Source organism: Homo sapiens, chromosome X (genome assembly GCF_000001405.40).
Source record: "Homo sapiens chromosome X, GRCh38.p14 Primary Assembly".
In the NCBI taxonomy this organism is placed as follows: Eukaryota; Metazoa; Chordata; class Mammalia; order Primates; family Hominidae; genus Homo; species Homo sapiens.
The window spans coordinates 136,647,374-136,674,822 of record NC_000023.11 but is presented as its reverse complement, the minus strand read 5'-3'; the positions used below and the strand labels follow the sequence as shown (position 1 = coordinate 136,674,822).

The following is a 27,449-nucleotide window of genomic DNA, read 5'->3' as shown; positions in this document are numbered from 1 at the left end:
TTTACCCACTGTTGTTTTTCACCCAGAAAGAGAGATGCAAGAGTAAAAGAGTTGGAGGTGATAGAAGTGAAAATTTTTTTTTAAAGTTGTTCTCCTTTGAAGTACACAGATACCTTCACCAACACTAGTTAGGAATTAAAGGGCCTAGAGAGTTCCTGTGTCTGTGAACTGATGCTAATCTCTTCTTATAGGCAGATTTGGAAAGGAAGTCAAAATACTATCTTTGATCAGCTGCATATTTAAACGAACAATGCTTCACCAAACTCAAGTTTCAAAGTTGCTCTGAAAATCTGGAAAGGTAGCTGCTTAGCAGAGGTTGTCCAAAATGTATAAAGTTGATCAGGGAGTTATTAGGTTAGGGTATTTCCCCAAACAACTTTCAGGTTACAAACTGAAAGCAAGATAATATTTTCTGATTCATCTTTATGCTTTTAAAAAGACAGGTCACTTCGATTATGTCTTTTGTCTCCCATTATTATAGACATTCAGAATACCTTTTGTGAAGTTTTTGCACCTGCATAAGAAATGAATACTCCATAGTACTCCATTTTGGACATCCAGTGACCAATCATTTGAATGTGGGAGGGGATTTCTTAGGTGCCTTGACATATTCTTTCAAAGTAATGCATCTCTAAGGCTGACATAAAAGAAGCATTCTACTGGGCATGATGGCTCACGCCTGTAATCCAGCACTTTGGGAGGCCAAAGCAGGCAGATCCCTTGAGGCCAGGAGTTCAAGACCAGCCTGGGCAATATGGGAAAACCCTGTCTCTACTAAAAACACAAAAGTTAGCCGGGTGTGATGGCGCACACCTGTAGTCCCAGCTACTTGGGAGGCTGAGGCAGGAGAATCTCTTGAACCCGGGAGGTGGAGGTTGCAGTGAGCCAAGATTGCACCACTGCACTCCAGCCTGGGTGACAGAGTGAGACACCATCAAAAATAAATAAATACAAGAGAACGAGAGGTGGGGGGAGAGAGAGAGAGAGAAAGAGAGAGAGAAAGAAAGCATTCAATGATTCAATGTGAAAGTTGACGCATTTGGCCATGAAGAGAGGACTGTCGCACTCTGCTTCACAGAGAAAACCTGGCTGTGGCTTTGGGCATGCATAGCTCTGATAACATGTTTCAAGGAGCCAGGAGAGGAAAGTGAGGGCAGCTTTAGTTTTGAGAACTAGAGAAGAGAGGGGGACAAAGAGATACCAGAAGCATCCCTTCTACAAAATCTGACCTCATCTCCTCCCGCACCACCTATTTTTATATTTGACAGAGTGGATGGGTCTGCAGCTGGGAAGTGCAGCCAGATATTCTGGCTTAAAAAGACACGTCTTCACCCTTGCTCCCTACCCAACCTTTTACATGTGGAAGATGTCTGGCACTGTGCTTGTCACACAGCAGATCATTTAGCATCGTGGTGACCTTCTATCCTCTATCCCTCTCTAACCAGAAGCCCTGTTTCTCTAGAACTGACTGCCCTCGGCTCTTACTGCATTCAGCCAGTCATTCAGTCAGTTTGCTTTCCACTTATATTCGTCCCTTGGTATCTGCAGGGGATTGGCTCCAGGACCCCCAGAGATAACAAAATCTGACGATGCTCAAGTCCCTGATGTAAAATGGTGGAGCATTTGCTTATCACCTCCATATATCTTCCCATATACTTTAAATCATCTCTAGATTGCTTATCATACCTCATAAATGTAAATGCTGTGTAAATAGTTGTTATACTGCATTGGGTTTTAAATTTGTATTGTTTTTTGTTTTTTCTGAACATTTTCAATGCACGGTTGGTTGAATCCACAGATGTGAAACATGTGGATATGGGGGGCCACCTGTATTAAGCACCTACAAAGTGCTAGGCCCTGGAGAAGGCAGAGACACATCTTACCTCAAGAAAGGGGAGGTGGTCAAGTGAAGGCAGTGAGTGTGCACACCTCTGAAGGAACTTGGCCTAGAAGAGAGGAAGCCAGTGGCTCAGGGAGACCCAAGATTAAGCACTTGAGCTCTGAGAGGGAGGATCCAGAGTGAGGGAGGTGCAGGAGAGCTGTTTGGTTGGGCCCCCATGCCTGTTCTGTCACCTCTTCTGTCCCAGAGCCTGGAGACATTCTGGGCAGAGGACACCTACATCTTTGCTGATGATGTGATAATCTCCAAACCTCACTCCACCCTTGATGAAAATGGTCTTAGGAGACATACCTACCTTACCCTATAAGACTGTAAAGAGAACAAATGGGGGTGATGATGCTTCTGAGGCCCTTTAAGCACATTGTGTTTCAGTGCAGTGCTACTGTCAACCTTTTACTACAATGACAAAACACTGTAGCATAGGATGTAGTGTGTCCTTCCTTGGAGATTTGCAGGGAAGAGTGATCACTGGTCAGCTCTTTGCTCTGGAGGAGGCAAAACAGGAAAGAATGGAGGTCTTGGTTGTGGACAGGTATTACAGGGGCTCTTTTGCATTATTTTTCTGAATACAAAATGCTTCCCACCTCGGGAAGATTGAATCAGTGTATTTGGCCATTTAGAATTTCTCATGTCAGGAAAATTTAGTCAGCAAATGATGGGTGACTGTCCTCTGGGTGTAATGTAGCAACATGCTATGAACAAAGACCCTTCTGTAACAATAGTGGAAAAGAACTAACACCCACTATTTCTACTCTTCACTAGTAACTCTCCCTCCTCCCCCATCTTGCAACCCTTGTTTGTAGGTACTCGAAAAGATTCCATTCCACAAGTCCTACTCCCTGAGGAAGAGAAACTCATCATTGAAGAAACCAGAAGCAACGGCCAGACCATCATGGAAGAAAAGTGAGTAGAGCAGGCAAAACCTTGCCTAGTTTCTCTTGGGGCTGGCAAGAAGGTCTGGTAGGACGGGGAGCTCCTGGAGAGTCTATGATGAGGGACAACTCCTCCTTACCTGGGAATGCGGCCTGCTTTGCTGTGCATGCATTTGGGAGACTTTAGAGGGCTGCCCACTAACAAATGGAAAGAGGAAGGAAAAGCAGCGGTGACAGAGCCCTCCAAGGCAGCTCCAGCTGGCAGCTGCCCCTGCAGCCAGCTCCCCATCCAGTAAGCTGCTTCTGAGCACATGGGAATATCAATGCCCTGGATGGGTTTAGGAAGTGGCTGGGAATTCCAGCCACAGAACCAATTTCCTTGCCCGGAGAGATGCCACTCACATGTTTTGAGTCAGAAGCTGTGCTTTCACATTTTTGACATCATTTAAAATCCTACAGCAATCCGGTTAGATAAACATTACTCTCACCACTTTCACAGATAAAGAAACTGAGGTACAGGAAGTTCAGGGAAATTATGTCTCTGACTTACCTTTACACAGTAGTGTGGGTGACCTAATGGGGGAAAATCAGGTTAAGTACCTTCTGGCTCATAAAATTAACACAAAGTAGCCAAATAATTCATTTGTCTAAACTTGAGTCATTTCTGAAGTCAGGCCTAAATTTGCATAGGACAGCATATTTCAAGGTGCTTGGCATTGTCAATGCATTTTACATCTGATGTGTGAAGTGATACAGCAAAATGGTTAAGTACTTGGGCTCAAGCAAAAAACAGTGTGGTTCAACTCCCACTTCTGCTACTCATTAGCTGTGTGACCTGGGGCAAGTTGCTTCACCTCTCTGTGCCTCAGTTTCCTCATCTGTAAAATAAGGATGACGGTAATGCTTTCAGAGTTGTTGTGAGGTTAAGTGAAATAAGTATAAAGGCTAGCTCAATAAATAATGTTAGTTAATTCTTATTATAACGATATTCATTTTTACAACTTTGTGAGGTTTTCAGAAAATGTGCTATTATCCCCATTTTACATGTAAAGAAACTAAGACCAAGAGAGGATGAGAAGGAAACTGGTTCCCAGAGAACAGAGGACTAGTAAGTGGCAGGATCAGAACCAAAACTTAGATCTCCAAAATCTTTGTCCAGGGAGAGACCCAGAGAGGAAAAGGCTGTTCTGCAACCCAGTAATTACCAAAAAATTACTTTTTTGGGTACTGTATGGTTGAGATATTCCAGAAAGAATGCCTCTGACTTTGTGTCATGTGCAGTCAGAGAACTGGGAAGGGCAATGTCATAGCACAGATACTGTAGACTAGGCAATCTTGTGATACCTCTCATTATATGATAGGTGATGTTCATTCCTGCCCCAAAGCTAGAGAAATCAAAACCTTATGACGGGAATTGAAAACGTCGAACTCCTAAAAACAGAGAGCAGAATGGTAGTTTCTAGGGACTGAGGGGAAAGGGGAAATGGGGAGATGTTGGTCAAAGGGTACCAAATCTCAGGTATGCAGGATGAATAAGTTCTGGAGAACTAATGTACAGCATGTTGACTACAGTTGGCCCTCTGCATGCGTGGGCTCTGCATCTGTGGATTCAACCAACCCCAGATCAAAAAGATATTCAGAAAAAAATGGATGGTTGCATCTGTATTGAACATGTACAGATTTTTTTCATACCTAGTAAAGTTTTTCTTTTTCCGCCTTTGTTGAGGGATAATTGACAAAGGTGTACAATGTGATGTCTTGATATATGTATGCACTGTTATACCATATTGTTTTTTCCTAAGAAATATGGTATAACAAATATTTGCATAGCATTTACATTGTATTAGGTATGATAAGTAATCTAGATATGATTTAAAGTGTATGGGAAGATGTGCATTGGTTATATGCAAATACTATGCCATTTTATGTTAAGGACTTGAGCATCTGTGGATTTTGGTATCCATGGGGGTCCTTGAACCAATACCCCATGGATACCGAGGGAGGGAAGACTGCATAGTTTACAATGGAGTATACTTGAAGTTTGCTAAGAGTGTAGATTTCCACCACACACATACAAAAGGTAACTATGTGAGGAGATGGATATGTTAATTAGCTTGATTATGGTAACCACTTCACAATGTATACATATATCAAGACATCACATTGTACAGCTTTGTCAATTATCCCTCAACAAAGCTAGAAAAAGAAAAACTTAGTGACGGGCCCTAGTCTCTTGTGTTTTGTTCACCCAAGCTGGGAAGTGAGTAGAAAAGGAGGAGGGAAGTATAGAAAAGGTGTAATGACATTGCATTTAGCTAAGCATGTGTGGTGGTGGTTGTTCTTCCATCAAAGTCAAGAAGATGGAAACCATTTAGAGCAGTACCATTCCCAATCAGCTAGAAAGTCCACTGTTTTTCAGGATCTGTATTTTTATAAAGTGGCTTTTATTGTTAAGTATTTTAACAGTACCTCAGTGCAAGCCATTTGTCTCTGAATTTTATCTTTATTTTCTAGGAGCCTTGTTGATACTGTTTACGCCTTGAAGGACGAGGTCAGAGAACTGAAGCAGGTAATAAAATATAAAATCATTTTCTCGGGTAATAGAACCATTCTCTTTTTCTTGCCTCACGCTGCTCATGCTTTCAGGGAAGGCCTAGGAGCAAGGTAGCGAGGGGGGATTTTTGTTTTCCTTGTGTCATCAAGGTAGGTTTTGTTGATTTTATCATGTAAGCCTTGAATTTAAATTTCCGAGGCTTGCTTGTATTTCTATGTAGTAGTTCACAATAGAGTCCCAAAGTTAGTTACAACTTTCCTGTTCTCTGACATCCATAAACAGACTTTAAGAAAAGACTAGTCATTCATGAGTGTGTAAGTGTAAAGAGAACCATTCATCATGGTTTGTGGGCTTTTCTGCCGATGTGGCCTAGTGCTCCGTGATGCACACTGTGCCTTGTGTGTGAGGACTGACTGTATCTGGTGACAGAGTGAAGGATGGATGCGAGGGGAGAGAGACCAGGGACTAGAAGACCACTTAGGAGGTTCTTACAAAACTCAGGGTGAAACCTGTCAGAGTCCTGAACTGAGGCAGGGTAATGAGGCTGGGGAGGAGGAAACGAATGTAAAGGATGGCATACTGCAGAGTTTGAACCTATGGACGAGGATAATATGATTTTGAGATTAAGAAAGAGCCAGGGATTAAAGATGAAGCTTCTTCCCAGGGTGTCTGGTTGCATATGGTGGTGCCCCTTCATGGAGATCAGTAATCACAGGAGGAGGAGAAGTTTGGGGTGTTGAGAGAGATACTGAGTTCACTTTAGGACCTGATGAGTTTAAGGTGCTTGTGACATATCTAGGTGGAAATACCAAGCTGCTGCCAGGTAATCTCAGGTAAGTGAGAGGATCACTTAAGCCCGGGAGTTTGAGGCTGCAGTGAGCCATGATTACACTGCACTCCAGCCTGGCAATAGAGTGAGACCCCATCTCTTAAATAAAATAATAATAATAATAATAATAATAAGAAGAAGAAGAAGAAGAAGAAATACCAGGCTGACAGTTGAGATTGTGGACCCGATTCTCAGGAGACAAGGTCAGTACCAGAGATATTTGGGAGTCCCCTTAATAGACACTTGGGTTGAAACAGAAGTGACACTAAGTGAAAAGCAAGTTAAATTAGAAGAGGATCAGGGCAGGGAAGAAGAATCCAAAAGGTTTCCCAGAGACAGGCAGGAGAATCGACAGGCTGCTTTGTCATAGATGCTGAGGGAGGGAAGGTCGAGGAAAGAAAGAGAGTCAGTGATGAAAGCTGCCCCGAGGATGAGCAGGAGGAGCCCTTGGAAGGGCCCCCCTCTGTTTGATAATCAACAAATCTTTCCCCATCATAGGAAAATAAAAGAATGAAGCAATGCCTGGAAGAAGAACTGAAATCAAGAAGGGACCTAGAAAAGCTGGTGCGGAGGCTTTTGAAGCAAACAGATGAGTGTATTCGAGGCGAGTCCAGTAGCAAGACCTCAATTCTTCCATAACCATCACTGTGCCACTGGGTGGAGTGTGCCTTCAGGGCATCTTGAAATGTCCCGCTGAATGATTTGACTCAGTTTGCTCACTTCTTTGGCTTTTGTTTTGTGTTTGAGTCTCTCTCTCTCTCTCCCTCTCTCTTCTCTTTCTCTCCCCGCTGTGTGCATATGTGTGTGCGTGCACGTGCGCGCTTGGGCATTTGCTGTTGTTTGGTTATTGGTTGGTTGTTCATTTTTTTTTTCAACAGGTGAAAAAGCAGGAAGTGGTGGTAGAGATGGCCTCAGAGTCTTTTCCATTCAGTAAGAAAGAGAAAGGGAATGCAGGCCAGTTACTTAAAAGGTCTTCAGATTGCCTTCAGTTCACAGTGCCTCTGCAACAGCCATTGCCCTCAGGTCACATTCTTTGGGCTGGCTGCCCTTGCAAAGCAGCTGGCCAAGGCTTATTAAATGTGAACCCAACTTTTCCCCAGGGCTTTCCTGTACCTGCAAGCCTCTTAGTACTTAATTTACCGAAGGCAAATCTTCCAGACTATGGCTTGAGTAGGATGAAAGACAAACACATCTGCCCAATGATCCAGCTGCCCTTCCTTAGACCATCACATGCCTCCCCTCAATCACAGGTTTTAAAATTACTGCCCTATGTTGTCTATAAGACCAAGAAAACTGTAGTACCCTTATTCCTTTTGTGTCATGTAAATTGTAACTCAGGGGGGCAGAAGCTCTGGTCACCCACACCAACACCAAATCCATCAGCAAATTCTACTGGACAATCCTCCCTTTTAGTAGCAGAGTTGACCGCCTTTTCCCATTGCATGATAGGTTTCTTTCCCTCATTCTGCCTAGTGTGTAAGTTTTCTATTTCCCCAGTACTTTTAGCCAACCTTACCAAGTGGTGTGTAAACTAGTATGTATGTGCTTTGCTTACTTTTTAAAAAAATGTAGTTAGACTGTGAGGAGTTACTTTATGTACGTTGCATATTCAAACTGTGATGTTTTATCCTTCAAAACAATCTGCATTAAGAAGATATTGTGCCCTACTAGACAGCTTTCATTCACTTTATTACTCTCTCATATATGCTGTGAGAAGTTGTAATATTAATTGGCCTCTTTGGGTGGGACTCTAAGCAGTATTTGCAGAAATATGCTTCTGGTCCAACTTGTACATCCAGAACAAAAGGGCCCCTCTAGTAGCTGTGTGCTGGATTATTCAGGACTGATTAACTCAAGTTGCTCATTGAATCACATCATCCACTTTATCCCAGAAACTAGAACTGTGAGAAACCAGGTTTAGAAGACAGTCACAGAACAGCACACATCCAAATTCAGCGCCATTGAAAGTTGGCCTAAGGCTCAGTGCCACTCACCCCTCCCTCCCCAAAAGACAAGAGAAATTTGGCCAGATGGGGAAGGTCACTGGAAATTGAGGCCAAAGGGCTGATCAGAATTGCCTTTATAATATATTTGATGGATGCCTATAAATGTGGGTTTTGCAAATATTGTTTAAAAACCAAACTTGAAGCCAGGCATGGTGGCCCACACCTGTGGTCCCAGCTACTCAGGAGGCTGAGGTGGGAGGATCATTTGAGCCCAGGAGGTCAAGGCTGCAGTGAGCTGTGATGACACCACTGCACTCCAACCTAGGTAACAGAGAGACACCTCTGTCTCTGAAAAAACAAAACTTGAAGTTTGAAACCCCCAGCTTGCTGAGGAGCCCTTTTTATTTTTGGTACTGAGAGTCTCAAGGTCCCATAGCTACATGGTACAGGGCTGTTGTCTGCTTGCTGCACAGCAGAAATTACACCATCCACAGGAAATGGACTATTTTTGCAGTCCAACATCAGCCAACCACACACAGCCGTGTTTGGAAGCTGAAGAGTAAAGAAATTTCTAGGAATGGCTGTTGTTCTGTTTTTTAGCACAGCCATTTAGATATAACATCCTTCACTTAAAAATTAAAAACATCAGTACTACCACCACCACCAACAACATCAACACAGATCTTCACATCTGCCCATTCTGTGGTTAGTCAATGGCTTGCAATAAATGTGCAAACTGCATCTATAGGAAACATTTTTGTGATTACGGAATACTTTAGTTGATTGCTGAAAATATTGAAAGGTCTTCATTTTACAGTGATGAGTACATATGCATGTTTCGGGGACTTGGCCCTTCTGATGAGGGGCCCTCGGTACTCTGGATAACGAAGCTTGTGCAGAGTGGTAACCATGCTTACACACTAAACTATAATATAAAGGAAATGAAGCCATGTTAATCTGAGAGCAGTGTCGCCATAGTTGTGTTGTTTACAATACTCTATAAATGGGTTCCTGTTGCCCTGTAATTAAACTGCTGCCCGTAGAGGCCTTTCAGTTCCTTTTCTGTCCTTCCCCTTCTTAACACAAGCTCAAATTTTCTAACTTGTTTTTATTTTGAAGACTTTTAAAATGGACATTTTCAATACATAAAAATAAACAGTGCTTTATAAAAATAAGTCTTTTGCTTCTTTTTTTGCTAGCCGGTGTGCAGAAAGATTTCTTGTGCTGTGTCAGCTTCCTCTCCCATTTCCCTCATTAGCTAGTCTGCTCTCACCAAGCCCTCTAGCCAGTCTCAACCTTTTTCACTCAGGGCAGATGACATTTGCTCCCAACTTTACAGAGATAATACATGCCCTGAGACAGAACCTTCCTTAACTTCTCTACCTCTCTTCTTCTGGCCCAAACCTATAAATTATATCCCTGCTCACCATCTGCTTTTTGATATTAGAGAAAAATGTATTTTCCTGCTCAAGCTTATCCCTTGATATTTATTCCTGTCCTGATTCCTCTTTGAATTTGGCAGGATTTTGTCAATCAGTGATAATCCTATATTTTGACCACAGTTGGAATGCTGGTGTCAGCACTCAGGATGGAAATATTCGTTCCACTTAAAGATTGATGAGGTGGAAATTATCTGCTGCTCCACATGCATTCCTACCCCTTTTCTGTTTCTTTCCAAAAACATAAAGGCTGAAAAATCAATTTCCCAGACTCCCTTGCAGCTAGGGTTCTGGATAAAATGTGGGTTCAGATACATGTTCACTTCTGCCAACAAAATTTGGAAGGCTTAAGTTGGGCAGAGGCTATCTTCTTGGGGTTTGGTGGCCAGCAGGTGATTCCAAAGATGTGTTTGTGGCTTCTGTACTCCACATTCCAGTGTGTCTATTCACAGCTTTGTGAGTGAGAGACTGTAGTGGTGGCAGCAGCCTCCTAACATGTGGATCACAACTGCAATGATATGACCTTGAAGCCATTAGTCCAGTGGCAGCCTCCTGACTTCCCCTGACTTCCACTTATGTAGCCCAATGGTTTTGTAGACAACTGATTATCTTTCTGCCTGAGATACCTTCAGTGGTTTATGATTCCTGCTCTGAGCCAATAGATAGAACATGGCATCTCATGTGTGCTAGGCACTGTACTAAGTGGTTTACACGATTAAGCTCATGTAAGCCTCACAACAACCTTATTAAGTATTTACTATTGTTATCTCCACTTACAAATGAACAGAGGCACAGAGATGTTGAGTAACTTGCTAGTACATGGTGGAGCTGGAATTTGAAACCTTAGTCTGTCTGACTCTTGGACCCATGCTCTCTCTATCACGTATCCTCCTGCACACTTGGTACATGCTAAGGTTCCTACCTTAGCCATCCACCTTTGTGAAGTCACTATTAAGCTTATAATTGACAAATCCATTGGCTTTTCGATCCTCACCTTGACGTCTCTGCAGTATTTGACCCTTGCCTTCTTGATGAATCTCTCCTTCCTTGGTTTTCATGAGCCCACACTTTCTTGGCATTCATTCAGTCACCCCTCAGTCTCCTTTGCTGGACCTGCCTCCTTAGGCTGTCCCCTGAACATTGCTGATCCTCTTTTCCTCGTCTCTTCCAATCTATAGCCTATTCCTAGACAACCTTGACTACCCCCATAACTTCATTTATCAAAATGCAGATGACTCCCATGTCCACAGTTTTCCATTCTGACTTTTCTCCTGATCTCCAGACCCATGGATGCAGCTACCTTATAGATAACTCAGTGGAACTGCAGGAGTGGGGCAGTTTCCTGAAAGTTACTGAATTGCTTGAAGAATGACTCAGAGGAGTGTGAAAGTGTGGTATGGAAGGGGGAGGTTTGTGTGCTGATGCCCCTTAGACTGGGAATCAATGGTCATCGTCTTTTAAAGAAACATTCCTAAATATAGAACTTCGGCTGGGCTCGGTGGCTCATGCCTGTAATCCCAGCACTTTGGGAGGCTGAGGCGGGCGGATTACAAGGTCAGGAGATCGAGGCCATTCTGGCCAACATGGTGAAACCCCATCTCTCCTAAAATACAAAAAAAAAAAAAAATTAACTGGGCGTGGTGGCATGCACCTGCAGCCCCAGCTACTCGGGAGGCTGAGGCAGGGGAATCGCTTGAACCTGGGAGGCAGAGGTTGCAGTGAGCCGAGATCATGCCATTGCACTCCAGTCCAGCCTGGCAACAGAGTAAGACTCCATCTAAATATATATATATATATATATAACATATATAATATATATATATAATATATAATATATATAATATATATATATAATATATATAATATATATATAATATATATAATATATATATATAATATATATATATGTAATCTTCTCAAACCTACTGAAAAATTTGGCAACTCCAAGCCCCCAGCGCTTAGCAGTTTTTGACAATAAAACTATACCATAAAAAAAGGGTCTTTGCTATCCACAGGTCTACTGTAATGTTTGCTTTTTCTTTCTTTCTTTTTTTTGGTTTCACTTTGCTTCACATTGGGTGTGGTCTTTGGTCTAGTACATGAGCATAGGCTCTCATGTGTACCTGGGTTGCCAGGCATTCTCCTTGGTCTCAGAAGTTTCAACCATTTAAGATGGCACCCTGTCCACTTGCACCACTGAATGCAGACAGGTGTGCTGGGGACCATGTAGAGACCCACCTTAGTGCTTCTTACATGATGATCTTCTCCAGAGAGCAGATTCTGCTGGGGACTTTCTGTGGACAATCTCACTGAATCTTTATAAACTTTTTTTTTTTTTTTTTGAGATGCAGTCTTGCTTCTGTCGCCCAGGCTGGAGTGCACAGGCACCATCTTGGCTTACTGCAACCTCCCCCTCCTGGGTACAAGTGATTCTGCTGCCTTAGCCTCCCACGTAGCTGAGATTACAGGCACACACCACCATGCTGGGCTAATTTTTGTGTTTTTAGTAGAGACAGCGTTTTGCTGTGTTGGCCAGGCTAGTCTCGAACTCCTGACCTCAAGTGATCCACCTGCCTCAGCCTCCCAAACTGCTGGGATTACAGGCGTGAGCCACCATGCCTGGCCCAGCATGTCTTCTTTTTATTCCCACTTTACAGATGAAGACACAGAGGACTAGAGGAGGTGAAATGACTTGCCTGTACTTATAAAGCTGGTTAATAGTGGAGCCTAGATTAAGACTGTATCTGTCTGACTCGAGATTTAACTACTACACTACAATGAGCATTTCTGGTTTTGTTTTGTTTTAGTGGGGATGTGATTCACAGAGAAAAATAACATAAAAATCATACTTAGTTCCATGTTTCTGTGTCTCAAAGTACTTCAGACTACTTTAAAAGTCTAAAGCAGTGCAGTTCCCAACACAGTGGCATTGGGCCCTGTGAAAATAGTTGAATGTAGCACAGAATGTATTCTCTCCTGAAGCCCAAAAGTTTACATGTCATTTCCGTTTAAGTGGGGGCACCCCTGTTCTGACAGCTTGCTAGAGCACACTGTTTGCGTTTTGTGGTCATTTGCTAACCATCAAATAACAGAGGCAGTAATATTTTATCCTTGTTTATTTTCTCTTTATCTAGAAATAATTATTTGGTATTTCAAACATTCCCACCCTCCCCCTTAGATAGAAGGCAGAAGTGACATGATTATAAAAATGGAACTAAGTTAGATAATTTATGATCAGACTATTACAGGTACATCAGAAATGTACTCGAGTCTTTTTCATTTATAGGAAAATGCTGAAAATGTTCAATTGAAGTTTGGAACAAACATATATTATTTTGCAAATTATCATGAAATGTATAATAAAAACATATTATCTGTTTTTAGCTACAGCATAATTCTCAGTCATTTTTTACTCCATGAGTGCATTTTTATCATCCAGATATTTTTGACCTAATGAGGATCCTTTCAGTGTAGCAAATTTTTGCCTCAGCCAACACACAGAATTATTTTCTGGGCTATTGAGTTATAAGCAGCTGTATTTATTCATTCATTTATTCCTTCATGCACCAAATAAAGGGCCAATTCAATGCTAGGTCCTGTGGTAGACGCTGAAGTTATCATGGTGAATGGGACAAGGTCTTGGTCCTCAAGAAGCTCACAGCATAGTAGGGAAAACTTCAACCATGATAAGTGCTGTGAAGCACTTGCTAAGTGCAGGGTGCAGTGAGGGAGAGAAATGGGTCTTGCAAGAAGAGAAAACAGCATTCCAGGGCCCTAAGGTAGGAAAGCATTTGTAACCTTGCTTAGAGGAACTGAGGGCTAGAACTTAAGAGACCGAGAGAGGTGGCAGCAGGAGATGAAATTGATTATTTTGGTCTTTATTCCAAGGTTCATAAGAAGCAGGGGACTGGCTGTGCATGGAGAATTGATGGAAGGGAGCAAGAGTGGAGGCAGGGAATCTAGGAGGCTGTTGTACTATTCCAGAAGAGAGATGGTGACAGTTGGGACTAGGATAGAAATAGTAGAGATAGAAAGAAGTAGATTAAGGACTACTTAAGAGATAGGGTTGATGAGCATAGGCTGGAGGGATTGAACATGGGGGTGATGAGAGTGAAGTCAAGCCAGGTTTCTGACTTGAAAAACTGGGTAGATAAAGACACCATTCATTGGACTGGGAAACATTGAACACAGATCCCATTGTGTGGGGGGAAAAGTTAAGAGTTCGGTTGGAATGTACTGGGTTTGAGGAACTAGGCCCACCCTTTGGAGATGCAGGCAAATTCTAGGAGACAGTTGAGAACAAAAGGCATGGCATTAGTGGCTTGAAGATGCTGCTAAGTTAAAACCATGAGCCCAGGGAGATAACCAACAGTGAGCATGTAGGACTTACCCGGTAAAGATGAACACACCACTCTGGGTTTCTTACATGAAAAATTCCTCTGTTGGAGGTGACAAGAAATGGCTCCATTGACTTCAGTGGAAGACTGGGGGGCCAATACTTCCCCTCAGGTTTTCTCAGCTCCATTTCCTCTTGCCTAAGTGGAACCACCTAGACAGCTATTAATAAGCTATGCCACTGCTCCTTATTTAAGGACCCTCTCCAGCCTCACTTGGCTGTGATTAATAAAAAAAAGTTCTTTCAATCTCCTGCAACTTTTTCAGAAGAAGCTGGAAATAAAGACCTAGATTGCTTTTCACTGAATAGGCTAGCACATCATCGATCAAAGGCTGTCACAGACTTCCAGAAAGTGTGCTGCCACCAAGATATTTTATAATGTAAGTAGCTTGAGAACAAAGTTTATGAAAACATCACAAAGGTTGGGAAAATTCCCTCCAAATGCTTCCTCTTTCCCCAACCTGGCTGGGAGCTTTAGGTACTCAAACAACAACGATAATGTTAAGAGGTCTTTATTATTCAAAAAATAAATAACAAGATAATTACAAGTTCACTCTGGAAACAATGGAGACTGCAGGTAGATACAATAGATTTCCTTTAAATACAGTCATTTCGTAATGAGGAGTGGGCAGGCTCAGGGCTGCACTCCCTACTCCTCACCCTCATCTATAGTGGTAGAGATAGGGACAGGGTGGAAAGAAGAGAACTGACTAGCAACGGCCTGACTCTGTGTGTGTGTGTGTGTGTGTGTGTGTGTGTGTGTGTGTGTGTGTGTGTGTGTTAGAAAGGGGGATTGAGAAGAGAGACTGGGGGAGGGAAGAGACTGACAAAGGGAAACAGAGAGATTGAGAAAGAGAGATTGGAAGAAAGAGGTTGAGAGAGAGAGACTGAAAGAGAGAGATGGAGAGAGAGAGATTGAAAGAGAATGAATAACTGTCCGAGAGGGTGGCGGGGGGGGGGGGGGGGTTTCGGTTCTCCACTGTGTTAGACGTTCTAGAGCCTGGCCCCCTCCAACAAGGCCATAGGAACCCAGAGTCAACCATAACTGAATGTGAGCTGAGGCTCCCCATTTCCCTTCTGCATCTTCACTGATAAATCAAATGCATTATCCATGGAAAGACACTGCACGCAAAGAAACAAAACTGAACTTGGCAAGTTATCTGCTGTTTACTCAGAATTCAACCTGTGCATAATGGCCTTGTCTTTTCATAGGACTCTCTGGATGTCTGCATCAGTGGGGTTGCTGCTTCAGATATATAAGCTCTTATGGAGCAGGGCCCGTTTTGGTTTCATGTGACCTGTAATTCACTTATTACAGTTCTACATGCCTTGGAGTGTATAATAAATAGTTCTCCATAAGGAGGATCCTAGGGTTATAAATAGGCAGTTAACAGGGGGTGGGCTTAACCGCTGTGCTGTATTATGAAGACTCCCAGCGTCAGCTCCACCACAGCCTGCAAGGTGACACTGTTCAGAGTTTGAGTAAGCCAAAGGACGTGAAGCCAGTGCCATGGCTCACTTGGCTTGGATCAGTCACATTGACAAACACCGAAGCACCTGGTTGCAATTCAAATACTCCTCCCAAGTGAATGGATTGTTGCCCGCAAGGTTTGGCGGAACTGTGGGTATTTGCAGCTCTGAGTAAGATTCTCTCGAATCTACCGGGGGACTTTAGGCAGAGGCTGGCTATAAATGGAGCTTGACTCGAAGCTTCCCGATTGGAACAGAAGGTGACTTGGGCATAGATATAATAGAGTCCTTGTCTTTTAACGGTCAGCTGTTTCCCATTTTCCAGGGTTACCAAGTTGTTGCTCATGGTGTAGTATCCTTTTTCAGCCCACTGTAACACTGTTACAAAGAAAGGGAAAGTTTGTGGTGAGGTGAAGCAGAGCATGGTTCACATTCTGACAAAAAATATAGTTTAATGTTGGATATTGGCTTTGTATAGGGATGGATTCTCAAGGCCCCTTCCATGGGCTTCAGAGTCAGACAGAGCCATGTTCCAATCTAGGCTCTATTTAAGCTTGGGCAAGTCTCTAAATCTCCATGAGCTTCAGTTCCTCATCTGCAACACGGGGCTCATATTGGAGCATATTTCAGAGACTTGTGAAGATTAAATAAAGTAAGAGATCACAGTGAGTTTCTTTCTCTCGTTAGAGTTCTTATAGCCAATTTGCCTTGAACTTAAGAAGGCACAAATGATTTCAAAATTTGACATCATAAATTATACATACCAAATTACTCGGACCAAATTTTTGCTAATATTACCATGAATACCTTGCTTGCCTTGAATTTTACAAAGTCAGAGAGTTGTCAGTCTACCTAGCTCAGCCTCAGCACAGAGAAAAGACCCCATTTCTTCCTACCTGATCATGCTGTTGCAAACCTGATCTGCCTCCCCCAGCAAGGACTAAAATTAGGCAAGGAAGTATGAAAATAAACTGTGTGCTCATTTCACGGTATGTTTTGATCTCCCATTGTAGTGGGCGCCACCAACTTGAAAGTACCAGTATTCTTGTGGCTAAGCCAGAGTACCCACCAACAGTGTGCCATTTTCTCGGCTGAGATGTTGAGTGGGTTCAAAGTAGTGTGTGCACCCGACTTGAAATCTCAGCTCCCACAGAAAGCTAGACTGACTGATGGGGGTGAGGGTTGAGGAAAAGTGAAAGTACTGATGTGTTTGCTTCCTTGAGCTTTTTAAAAAATAATTCCTATTCGATAGTCTTAGGTCTATCAGGGCACAAGATCCCACCTGGTAAGACTCGCCCTTTACTAATAGGGAGGCATCCTGAAATGCCTGACAGATCCGGGCCCTCCAGACCACTCCAGAAACAATGCTTCATTAGAATGTTTGCCCTTTTGAACCATTTTATTGAGAAAAAAAGGGCAGGTTCTCAATCTTTTAGTTCAGTAAGTTTACTTTGGTACGTCCTTACCTAATTTTAGTACTTGCTGTGGGATGTAGGGCAAGATTTTAGCAGCATGGCTAGGTAGGAAGAAGAGGTTTGGGACTGGGGTGGGGGTGGAATGTTACTGTCTTCCCATCTGATCCCCTGGAAACCTATTGTGATGCAGACTGTAAGATATTGTAGGACTGATATCCATTACAAGCCTTTTGGGAGAATCTGAGCTCTATGAAATATATCCAAGATCAAGGGTTTAGATACAGGCAAAAAAAGACCAGTGGGAAGCTATTCTTCTAGGAGATTTCTCTGTTGTTGTCATCTGATCCAGAAGAGAGAAGGGGTACTTGACAAAATTATTAAATATTGTGTAACTAACTGGTATTAGTGAGGGGCTTTATGTCACCCTTTTGACATCTAAGCCATGGTGAAGTAAACTAAGTAGTGTCACCTTACGGTTGTACAGCACTCGACAGCATCACTTTCGGCCACATTAGCTGATTTGATGCTCAAAGCCACCCTGTAAAGTAGGTGAAGTAGAAAACTGCTGCATAGGTAAAGGGTCTTGCTCAAGGTCACCCAGCAAGCAGTGGTCATGGTCCTTGAATCCCAGTGTTCAAAAACTCCCTATTCAGTGCTCTTACTTTGGTACCATGATCCATGATAATGATAACTGTCCATGTGTTACGCCTACTGAGAAGCCCAAGCCACTTCAGAGATGAAGCAGTGTCTTTTTTCTCTCTCTGTCCATCTCTCTTTCTCTCCCTGTCACACACATACACATATGCACACACACATGCACTGCTTAGAACTCCATTCCGGAGCACTCTGTAGAATTTTTCAAAGACTCCTCTGACGCTCTTGCCTTTATGTTGATGGGAGACTTTATGTTAGCGTGCATGTTTCCATCCATTTATCAGATACGACATATTCTTTGGCACCAGTTATCGCAAGATGCACATTTGGGAAAAAATATCTAAAGGCTAGAATGGTGGCAGAACGTATATGGAAATAAAATCGTTCAGAGTTGAAAAGATCACAATATGTCGTCTGTTGTTACTTCATTGGAAAATGTAACGTCTTGGGACCTATTGATCTTTACAGAATGATTTTACCTTTACTTTCCCTGAGGTTGGCCTCAGTGAGGCTGAGCTTAATCATACAGGGATTGACAGATGGCAGGAAATACCCCATGAGGCCCATTTCCACACAGTGAAGATGGGTTAGGAGGAGGGATGCTCCCAGTCAGGAGGTCACTACATGCCATTTCTTCTATGTTGTCAGAACAATGGTCCCTCCACCCAGTAATTCATCATTTAGAATCAGCCATTGAGCAAGAACATAATGAGAACATCCAGATTGCATTCCACCTCCTTTTGTCCCTCTAAGTCCCATCTGTGCATTTGAACTCACTTTGAAGACAAAGAAGGGAATAGGAGAAGTGTAGGGGTAGGTTTGTAAATTGGGTCCCAGGGGAAAAGAGGAGTTTAACCATTAGGTAACATGACTTCGGCATCCCAGCCTTTCCCCTTGGGTGGCTACCGCTCAGATGCTGTGTGACTTACCAGATGTTGTTTTACTGCTGGCCTCACTTATGACATGTGCCGCAATTTGAGGATTCTGATCACCTGAAATGGAACCAAAAACTGTCAGGCTAAAATAATGCAAAAACTGCCCACAAAACTATCTGGTCCAGTTCTACAACTGTGTAATAGAGACTGTGCAAAAATAGATTATATAAAAGGAAAGATAAAATGGTCTGACATCTCTCCCACTGAAGGAAAAGTTGGTTTCTAATATCTGAGTAATTGAATTGGCTGTTTCCATCGGTCTCATTCTCCTAACAGTTGATCAATACTCGATTCCATTTTGCATAGATTGACACAGGCTAAAAACACTGGTCTTCATTAAACATACCGTGAATCTTGCTTTTAGGAACAACTCCATACACTGGGGATTTTAGTGGGCTCCAAAGTCTGCACACTTAGTAAGATTCTTATGGTTTCTGAATTGGTCAAGCAACTGGCTGAACTATTGTATCTGTCTTTAATTATTTCTTGTGTTAAAGCCCTGCTCCCTAATGAGATGTGTCAATCTTCTAAGGGCAGAGACTGTGTGGAAGTTTCTTTTTGTCCAGTTATGAGCCTGATATTGGGCACTTTGTAAGTGCCCTATAAATGTTGAGTTAAATTGCATGACCTAAATGACCAGTTTGGTTAATATTATCATTTCCCTGAAGACTTCTAGGCAGCATCTACATAAACTGTTTCCTCAGATTTCTCTGTAATTAACAGACAGCGTGGTACTATTACTCAACATATCTTGCAGTCATTCTGAAGATAAAACCTTCATGGAAGTCGGATGACCATTTAGTATCCAGAACAACAGTTAAGGCAAGGTCTGAGTACTCTCTTTGCCTCAGAAAATAGTATCTCTATCCCTGTATGTATGTATGTTTTTGTGTGTATTAAATTTGCAGAAGCCATAACATCATGTTCACCAACTTTGTGATATAAAATTCTCTCTAACAACACCCCGTCTTTCCCATAATCTGCTGCTGAAGTCACTTCACGCATTATTGTATTGGTTTGCGATGCCACATTCTAAAAGAACAGGAAAACGTTAGTGTGTCCAAGAAAAGGAGGTGAGTGGCAGAAGAAAGGTCCTGGAAAGGGTCATAGGAGAAACAGTGGAAGACATCAGGGATCTTTAGCCTGGAGAAGAAAAAGCTCAGTCAAGGCTTGGCCACCATGATTGCTGTCTTCCATATCTGGACAGCTGCTGGGTAGGAGAGCAATTATACTTTGTTTACTAGGGCCTCAAAGAGCAGAACTGGGACCAATGAGTGGAGATTATAGGAACAAAGTTTGACTTGAGGAGGAAAGACTTCTCTGGAGTAGTATAGTAATCTTGGTATTATTAGAGCCATTCAAAGACGGATCAGGCTGCCTTATGAGGTGGAAGGTGCCTCATCCCTCGACATGTTTGATCAGAGGCTGGACGGTCAGTGTTATTGTGAAGGAGATTTTTGTTGTGGGGATGGTGCTGGATTTGAGAACTCTCAAGTTCTCTTCCAACCCTGAGATGTTCAGGATGCTCTCACTTTAAGAACCGGGCAAATAATAGAACACTGTGACATTGTCACTCCTTGATCCCAGAGGCTCCACCGGCCACTGTGCCCCATGAAAAACTGTTATCAATGAGTGATGAATGCCACTGTTACCAAATGATGACTTTCCTGTCTTCTTATTCCACTGTAGGTGGTATCAGGCTGTATGGTTGCTTCTATTAAGGTATTGAACATAATGGGATTTCTTCAGATTTGGTATCATCGGCATTAAAGGAACACATCCTTTTTTCATAAATATATATGTACAAAGTCTTTCCAAATCACAGGGACCAGAGAAGGTGTCAATTTGACAATTGTGTTCCTGTTTTATTTCCAGGGCTAAAAGTTCCCTGATGCAACAACACTGGGTTGTTCAATATGATCAGCCTAAAGCTTCCTTTTAGTTTTTAGGCATTCATAGAAATTAGCAAATAGCAAACCTACCTTTTTGCATTTCAAAGCTGTTTTCTTTCTTCGTCTCCTCTTTGTTTAACATTATATCCTAAAATAAGAAGCATTGCAAGAGGTCATTTTGACAGGGGCTCTGCTGTGGGGTTTTAAAATTATCATTCGTTTTGCATCTGTCATTACTCTGTTGTCTGTTTCTGGTGAGGATTATCATATAGACTCAGATCCTGTCATTAATTCCATCATGCCAATTGGGAGTCCATGGATCTGACAGATGAGCCAACAACCCAGAAAGCCCAGGGGAGAATCTGGAAGTAAAATCCAGGCCTTATTATCTCCATTCCAGTGCTCTCTCCAGACCAGAGGCTGTGATCCTGACCCTTCCTATGACCTCAACCTCCTTGGCTTTGACAGATATTGACAAATAATGCCGAATGGGGAGATGATTCTACCCTGGGAACTGGTATATGGAATATTATTAAACATAAAGCATGGTGTGTATCTATTAGAATAAATTTGGTCTGAAATCCTGTAGGAAAAGATAATAGTAAGTTTGACCTTGGGGAGAAATGCCAGACTATGAAAAGACCCTCAGACATTTTTAATTTTGCTATCCCTTTCAATGGGCTGAAGAGATTCTCTTATTGATAGTTGCACTGTATTTACTTAGAATAATCAGCATTTCGGAAACACAGGCCATCTCCCAATGGTGTTGATGTTCAAAGGCAAGTGCGACACTTCTTAAAAGGTTTCTTTTCACTTATAAACTGAAGGAAGTCTAGAGGTATTTAAAGAAGCTAACAGGAACTTCCATCAACACAGGTTGGAAGATGATAAAGGCTGTTGCTGCCATTTTAAAGAGACTGAACAAAAGGCCTGGAGGGCTTAACTGGTCATTATGAGGTCACCCAAAGAAGCTGAGGTTTAAACCAAGAGTGGAAACTGTGAGATGGCATTCATAGGCTGGGCTTAGCTAATTCCATCTGTCTATCCTCTGCACACAAGGGAAGAAGACAGTAGTATTTTCACATCTTATGATAATCAAAGTCCTGTGCTCCTTCCCACTCCTGGAATCAGTTGTCTATAGGACCCTTCCTTTTATTTCCTCCTCCAGAAGGAATTTGTGCTGTCACTGTTGAGTGCTGGCTGTAGGCCCAGCTCAGTTGCCAGATTTAAGGGCGTAGTTCATAGAGCCTCCAGGGGAACCTGAGCCTCAGAACACTCACATGGGCCCCAGAGCTTCAACTTTCCATTTGAGCTGAAGCGCGGCACTATGAAGATGTGGTGACAGGAAAATGTTTGTGAGATCACAAGTAAACAAATGACTATTTAGTGTCTTTTCAAAAAGTAGAGTGTGGTGATCAAGGTTGAGATACTTTTAGGCTAAGTTGTTGCATTGGTGTTGAGGCCTGGCCAAGATGAAAACATGAAGTCAGCAAAGCTCGTGTTTCATGAGCCCAGCCTAGCCTTTCCGTGAACTTTCGCCCAACCACACTCCCCAGAGCCTTTTTTTTTTCTTGCTTCACTCCCCACCTCAACTGAAATACTTTTTAAAGTGGACTTTCAGAAAATCCAGAATGGGTTATTTCTCTCTTAGTGGGAGTTCCATGTGGCAGGTATGGACAGGTTGCCCTTTAACTTGAAATAGAAATGCTTTGGCTCTCTCAAAGGCATCGCAGGCATTGGTGGGCAAATAATCATGGAACTGAACATCTAGCAGAGGTGTGGTGGGTTGTAAGTTTTAATATGAAATTATACTATTCAAAATAATACCTCTGCTTACCCTCACTTGAGCCCTGAATACCATCTTTCCCCCAAAATGACAGATTAGTGCTACCTGCCTCCAGAGATAATGAGTTCCTTGTCACTAGAGATGTTCAAACAGAGATTGGATGACCACTTAGTCAGGAGGTGGAGAGAAGACTGAAGTTGTGGATTGAGAATTGGATCTGATGACTTCTAAGACCCCATCAAGACCTGATTCAAAGACTCCAAATTCAAACTTGAGGTTGCTTAGGTGCAGCCAGACTGTGGCCCGGAAAGAAAGCCTACTAACATTAGCTAAGAAAATATGAATCTAATCTGGAGCTATTCTATAATTGTCCTATTGAGTTTTTTCAAAGTCTCGAATTTTGTTTTAGGGTGAGAAATTTGGGGGAAAGCGTATTGGAAAGGGGATCCGTCATTGGGGGAGGATTGGGTAGCTGGAGGACTTTGTATCTACTCATTGTACGTAATCCTAGGTATAGGTGGTGTTGACTAGGGTTCCACACCTGCTGCAGTAGAGACAAGGAGCCTCCTTAGTTGCATGTAAGGAGGAGATCCCTGGGGCCCTGGCTGACATGCCTGAGAAGATCTGCCTTTTAAGAATATGAAACTTTGGAGCTGTCACTTTTTTCATACAAGCATAAGCAGGGAGGCCAAACTGACTGTTTTCTTTACTCCTATCCTCGGTAGCTGATTTTGGGAGCTTTACATACATAGCCAACCTGAAATAATGACGTGAGGAATTGACAATTCAACCGTAAAAGTCTCCGTAAGAAACGAGGGGGACTGACAAGCCACTCTCACTGCCATTGGAGGGAACTGAAGGCTTATCACATAATTGTAGAATGTCAGAGCTGATAGTGCCCTTACAGATAATCTGTCTTCTCATGTTATAGATGACAAAACTGAGGCCCAGAAAGGTGAAGTTATTTACCCAAAGTCACATAGCCAAGCACATTCAGTCTGTTATTTGGATTATTAGCCATTGTTTTGAAAGTGCCTTTATTCACATTTAAACTGGTAACATCTTCCAATACTCTGTAATACTGGCCCAAATCCTCGAAGAACCGAAGAAACTCAAATCATTTTCCTAGCTGGCCAGTCTTGCAAAGAAAGGGTTTAGGAGTTTCATCTAAAGCCTAGATTAGTGTAAAGAACCTGAAAGCAAGCAGCGGATTTGAGCCACATTCTGTTCTCCGTAGGTGACTCAGGAATAAGCTGTTAGAGTCTTCACTAATGAATTAAATGGCACCTCGGTGACAGTACAGGAGGGCAGAAATAAGATCAGAAATAAGATCTTAACCCTTTTACGCCTGCATTAAATTACACATCATCTATATGTGAGAACTAATTCCTGTTGGTTTACCCAGATACCCACCCACCTGGCCCAGAACTGTCCTCAATGTGGAGTGCTGCCTCCTAGAAATGACCCCTAAGTGAGCCGAGGCCCAAGGGTATTTGACTCAGTGTTCTGAAAGGGACATAGGCAGAAAGAACTCTTGATGTTCTGCCTCAGGAGAAAGAGCCCCTAGACCCTATGTCTGTGATGATGGAATTAATGTAAAGGTTCTAAAAATTCTTGTTTTAGGTATCTGTTATAAGCCACAGTCACTGCAGTGACTTCATGCTAGCTACCAGCCTGGTGGGCTAAAAGGCTTTGAACCCTCTGTGCCTCTGGTCATGACCGGCCATAGAGTGGGCGGGCTTCATGAGCAAGTGATATTATATGGAGTCTGGTTTGAGCGACACTGAGAATGTCTATTACTTATTCCCTGCACCTCTCTCCCCAGTAAAAGGGAAAGATCTCACTGTCAGGACACCTAAAATTCCATCATCAGAGAAGCACCAGAGACTGTTACCAGTCTTCAGGTGTCCCTTCACTTGTGGCCTGCTGCCACGGCAGCTGTTGACGGCTATTGCTTCCCTGGGAAATGGGGATCAGACTCTGGGTCCCCAGTGCGAGAGCATCAAGGTTTGGATGGGGAGACACAGCAATGCAAAAACCAAGCTTGGTGGACTTCATCATTTTGCCTAGTGGTAGCTGCATATGTAAGCTGACAAATATGTGTGACTGTGCCCCTAAGGGTGTATTTTCCCCAGAGAGTGTCTTTGTGTTTTTTTTTTTTAACCCCCACACACACACCCATGTATGTGTGTATATCTGCATGCATATATATGTGTGTGTGTGTCTGTGTGTCTGTGTCTATAACCAATCTTTAAACATTGGCATTGTCAGTTTCCCGATCTAGCAAATGTAGTAAAATATTTCAATGACACTTTTACCAGTAATTAAGCTGCTTACCTTCACAAAGCCTTCAAACTGGCTTTTAATCTCCTCACAGTTCAGTAAGGATAAGGATCTTTCTCCTGTGTTGCATCTCTGTATCGTTTTCATGAATACAAAATCTTCATGAAGATTCCTTTCATCTTCTATCTATTTTGGAATAACAAGGATATGATAAATGTCATTCGGAAGGAGAATACAGCTAATGATATCTGCCTCTACATTCATTTCCACGGCATCAACAAGAGGAGGACTTTCAGGCATAAATGGAGAATAATAAGTTATTATATTGGCTGATTGCTATTTTGTATTTGCAGTTTAAAAATCTATAAAAGACAGCAATTAAGATGTCATGTTATCAGAAACTCCAGGTAGAAATCAGAGCTATTCTACTAAATGTTCACTACAAAATGCATATTTTTTCAACATACTATAGCAGCAATATTCTGTAATTGTCACATTTCTCATTGCTTCAGTAATGATTGGTCATTATAAACATCAGCCTAGAAAATAGTTTTCTGCAGAGCTAATTTGCCCACTTCATTTTAGTGTTTGTGATGCAGTGCTTTATAAAAAGAAGTTAATTTGCAATGTGTCAGTTAACGAGTTCTAATTACATCTCTCTCCCTTTTAACTTTAGTATTTGTAGAAAACATTTGCATTTTTAAAGAAATCATCTTTTATCCTCAAAGTAACAAGATATTTTATTTTCCAATGTCTTAGAATAATTAAATGTACAGAATTCACTTGCATTATCAACTAATTTTATACCATTTTCTTGCTTTAAGAGTAGATTTTTTAGATTCAAAACAAGATTCAGTTAGCTGGCAGCTTCTGCTGTAATTAAGAGCACATGTAAATAGTACGGTAAATATCAGTCCACTGAGGTCACTATTGCCCCTTTAGAAGCTAGGCCTATGTCCATACATTTGATTGACAGAGCACATCAGGCCAAACACAAATAACCAACCAGACCAGAAGCCCCCTCTTTTGTCAGCAGTGAAACCTAATATTTGGATAACCCAGTGGATGACTTCAGCCCTCACTACCTCACCTTATCCTGTTAGAAAAATCTCATGACATTAATTCTAGGTCCAGATCCTAAGAGAGGACACTCAAGTATCCCTGATAAAGTGCAATCATCCAGATGCTTTCTAGCCACAGTTCCTGCATCCAGAATTTTAGGAACAGCCAGAAAACTAATCAACTTTCTCCTTTACATCTATGATTGGTATTTTGTCAACACCAGCCAATTATACTCCTCAGTGGAAGTGAAAAAATACATGAAAACAAAATAAGTCCTGATGGTTTTCTTTTCCTAAGAATGCAAAACAGCCTACTAAGTTACTCTGCTCTTTTGTTCCTGCAAGTCTAACCATTTAAAAATGTAAAACATCTCAGAGGGAGACTGAGCATCCTGCAACTACAATCAGTGCTTGTGAAGAATTACACAGAAAATGCTACTTTTACTAAAAGACTGCAAATTCTGGGACTTATCCATGTCTATGTTAATCTGAAGCATTATGAAATTTTAGATCAAATTGACGCTCTTCTTGCCTAGCTGGAAATTTAAAAGAAAAAAGCTGTCTCCATAAAAAAATAGCTTACTTTTAAAGCAGAACTTTAGCAAATAATTATAGCTAGTGCGTACATAGTGCTTACTATGTATCAGACCCCCTCCTAAGCTTTTTACAAGGCTAAACTCACTTAATCTATGAAATGGACACCAATACCATCCCCATTTCTCAGATGTGGAAACTGAGGCACTTGCCCCAGGATAACAGAGATGGTATGGGCAGAGCCAAGATTTGAACCCAGGCAGTCTGACTCCAGATCCCAAGATCCTAACCAGAGACAAGAATATGAGACTTCATTGACTAGGCAACAAACATTATGCCACAAGACCATTCTTCTATTTGGTTTCTACCATCATCCATCATTTGGGTAGAACCAACCTATGAATTAGTAAGGACCCCAAATTTAGTTAATAAAGGCTTGTGGTTCATCTTACCTTGTCCAACCTTCTATGAAGATACACAGCAAAAAGTGCTGACCCAATCATCTGGGTGATAAGAAAAACAGTAAGTAAATACATAAAAATTTTCATGCTGATGGGCAGTCCAGTGGCCGCAGATCGGGGAGAAGTTTGGTTGTATGTTTCGATCATGCTGTGTTAAAGTTGAAATGGTATCTTCTGGCAGAGAAGGTGGCAGAGGCAGCATGAGAAGACTGTCAAAGTGGCCACCTTACTCAGGATTAGTTAAGAGCGCACAATCGTTGCAGCCCACACTTCCTGGAAAATGTGCTTCGTAGTCTTCTCTCCCAGCAAAAACGTTACGTAAAGGTTTTTTGTTTTTTTTTTTTTTTTTAATTATACCCATATCATTCACTTCCAGGCTTTCCTTTTTGTAAGTAAAGAAGAAACAAGTTTCTTCTTCCATATATTCATTCTTGCCTTGAAATGTCATAGACTTCTTAACAGACAATGGCAGTATTTTCCTATCACTGTCTAACTTTTTGGGTTCACCAGTTTCAAGGAAAGTGACAAATTCATCCACCAGCAATAGACTTATTTCAATTTCAATCTTACTAATACGAAGCGGGAACCTGGTATATGGAGAAAGAAACACATGTCAACAAAAGTTTGGATTGATTTTATGACTGGTGTCCCATCAACTAATTGCTTCTCAGAACTTTACTTCTTTAATCACTAAACTCAATGAAAGCCTGGCAGGTTTTCAGGTCAAGTCTACATGGCATAAAGCAAAAAAAGCATGCTGATGGTTATTAAATAAAATTTAGCTGGAAAGATAATGCAAGAAAAATAAATTTTGCAAAGGCAAAGATAAGTAGGGTCTTGAGGGAAATCAGGCCAAGACTCTGGAATTGAAGTTAAAGTAAAAATCGTGACTTGACGTAGCTAAGCTGCCTGTGTACACTGTTCCAATCCATTAGATAATTGTTGATGCTGATGTAACAGTTCAGAATAGGGAAAATAGGCTGCAGTTAAGAGATCTGAATTCTAGTCTTTGCTCTACCAAT

General features: G+C 42.0%; 2 protein-coding genes across 13 annotated transcripts in view, besides 3 other annotated features; one reads left to right on the top strand and one right to left on the bottom strand.

The window, feature by feature from the left end:
* ARHGEF6 (Rac/Cdc42 guanine nucleotide exchange factor 6) overlaps window positions 1-9,273 on the top strand; it is a 115,383-nt gene extending 106,110 nt beyond the window's left edge. For all 12 annotated transcript variants that reach the window (NM_001440993.1, NM_001440996.1, NM_004840.3 and 9 more), the window contains 3 exons: window positions 2,704-2,803; window positions 5,287-5,341; window positions 6,654-9,273. In NM_001440993.1, coding sequence (NP_001427922.1) covers window positions 2,704-2,803; window positions 5,287-5,341; window positions 6,654-6,794 — 296 coding nt within the window. In that variant the 3' untranslated portion in view covers window positions 6,795-9,273. The remainder of the gene's footprint in view (window positions 1-2,703; window positions 2,804-5,286; window positions 5,342-6,653) is intronic.
* Window positions 617-676: an enhancer, noted in NCBI's record as "active region_29993". NCBI's record gives its function as "activates an Ori minimal core promoter by ATAC-STARR-seq in GM12878 lymphoblastoid cells {active_cell/tissue: GM12878}" and the evidence as "EXISTENCE:reporter gene assay evidence [ECO:0000049][PMID:35858748]".
* Window positions 8,449-8,538: an enhancer, noted in NCBI's record as "active region_29992". NCBI's record gives its function as "activates an Ori minimal core promoter by ATAC-STARR-seq in GM12878 lymphoblastoid cells {active_cell/tissue: GM12878}" and the evidence as "EXISTENCE:reporter gene assay evidence [ECO:0000049][PMID:35858748]".
* Window positions 14,433-26,665, bottom strand: CD40LG (CD40 ligand). The gene is made up of 5 exons (NM_000074.3): window positions 26,419-26,665; window positions 24,426-24,557; window positions 20,393-20,450; window positions 18,405-18,467; window positions 14,433-15,784 (listed from the first exon to the last, which is right to left on the bottom strand). Exons 1-5 carry the CDS (start codon window positions 26,572-26,574, stop codon window positions 15,408-15,410), a joined length of 786 nt encoding a protein of 261 aa, NP_000065.1. The 5' UTR covers window positions 26,575-26,665; the 3' UTR covers window positions 14,433-15,407.
* Window positions 16,467-16,516: a silencer, noted in NCBI's record as "silent region_21028". NCBI's record gives its function as "represses an Ori minimal core promoter by ATAC-STARR-seq in GM12878 lymphoblastoid cells {active_cell/tissue: GM12878}" and the evidence as "EXISTENCE:reporter gene assay evidence [ECO:0000049][PMID:35858748]".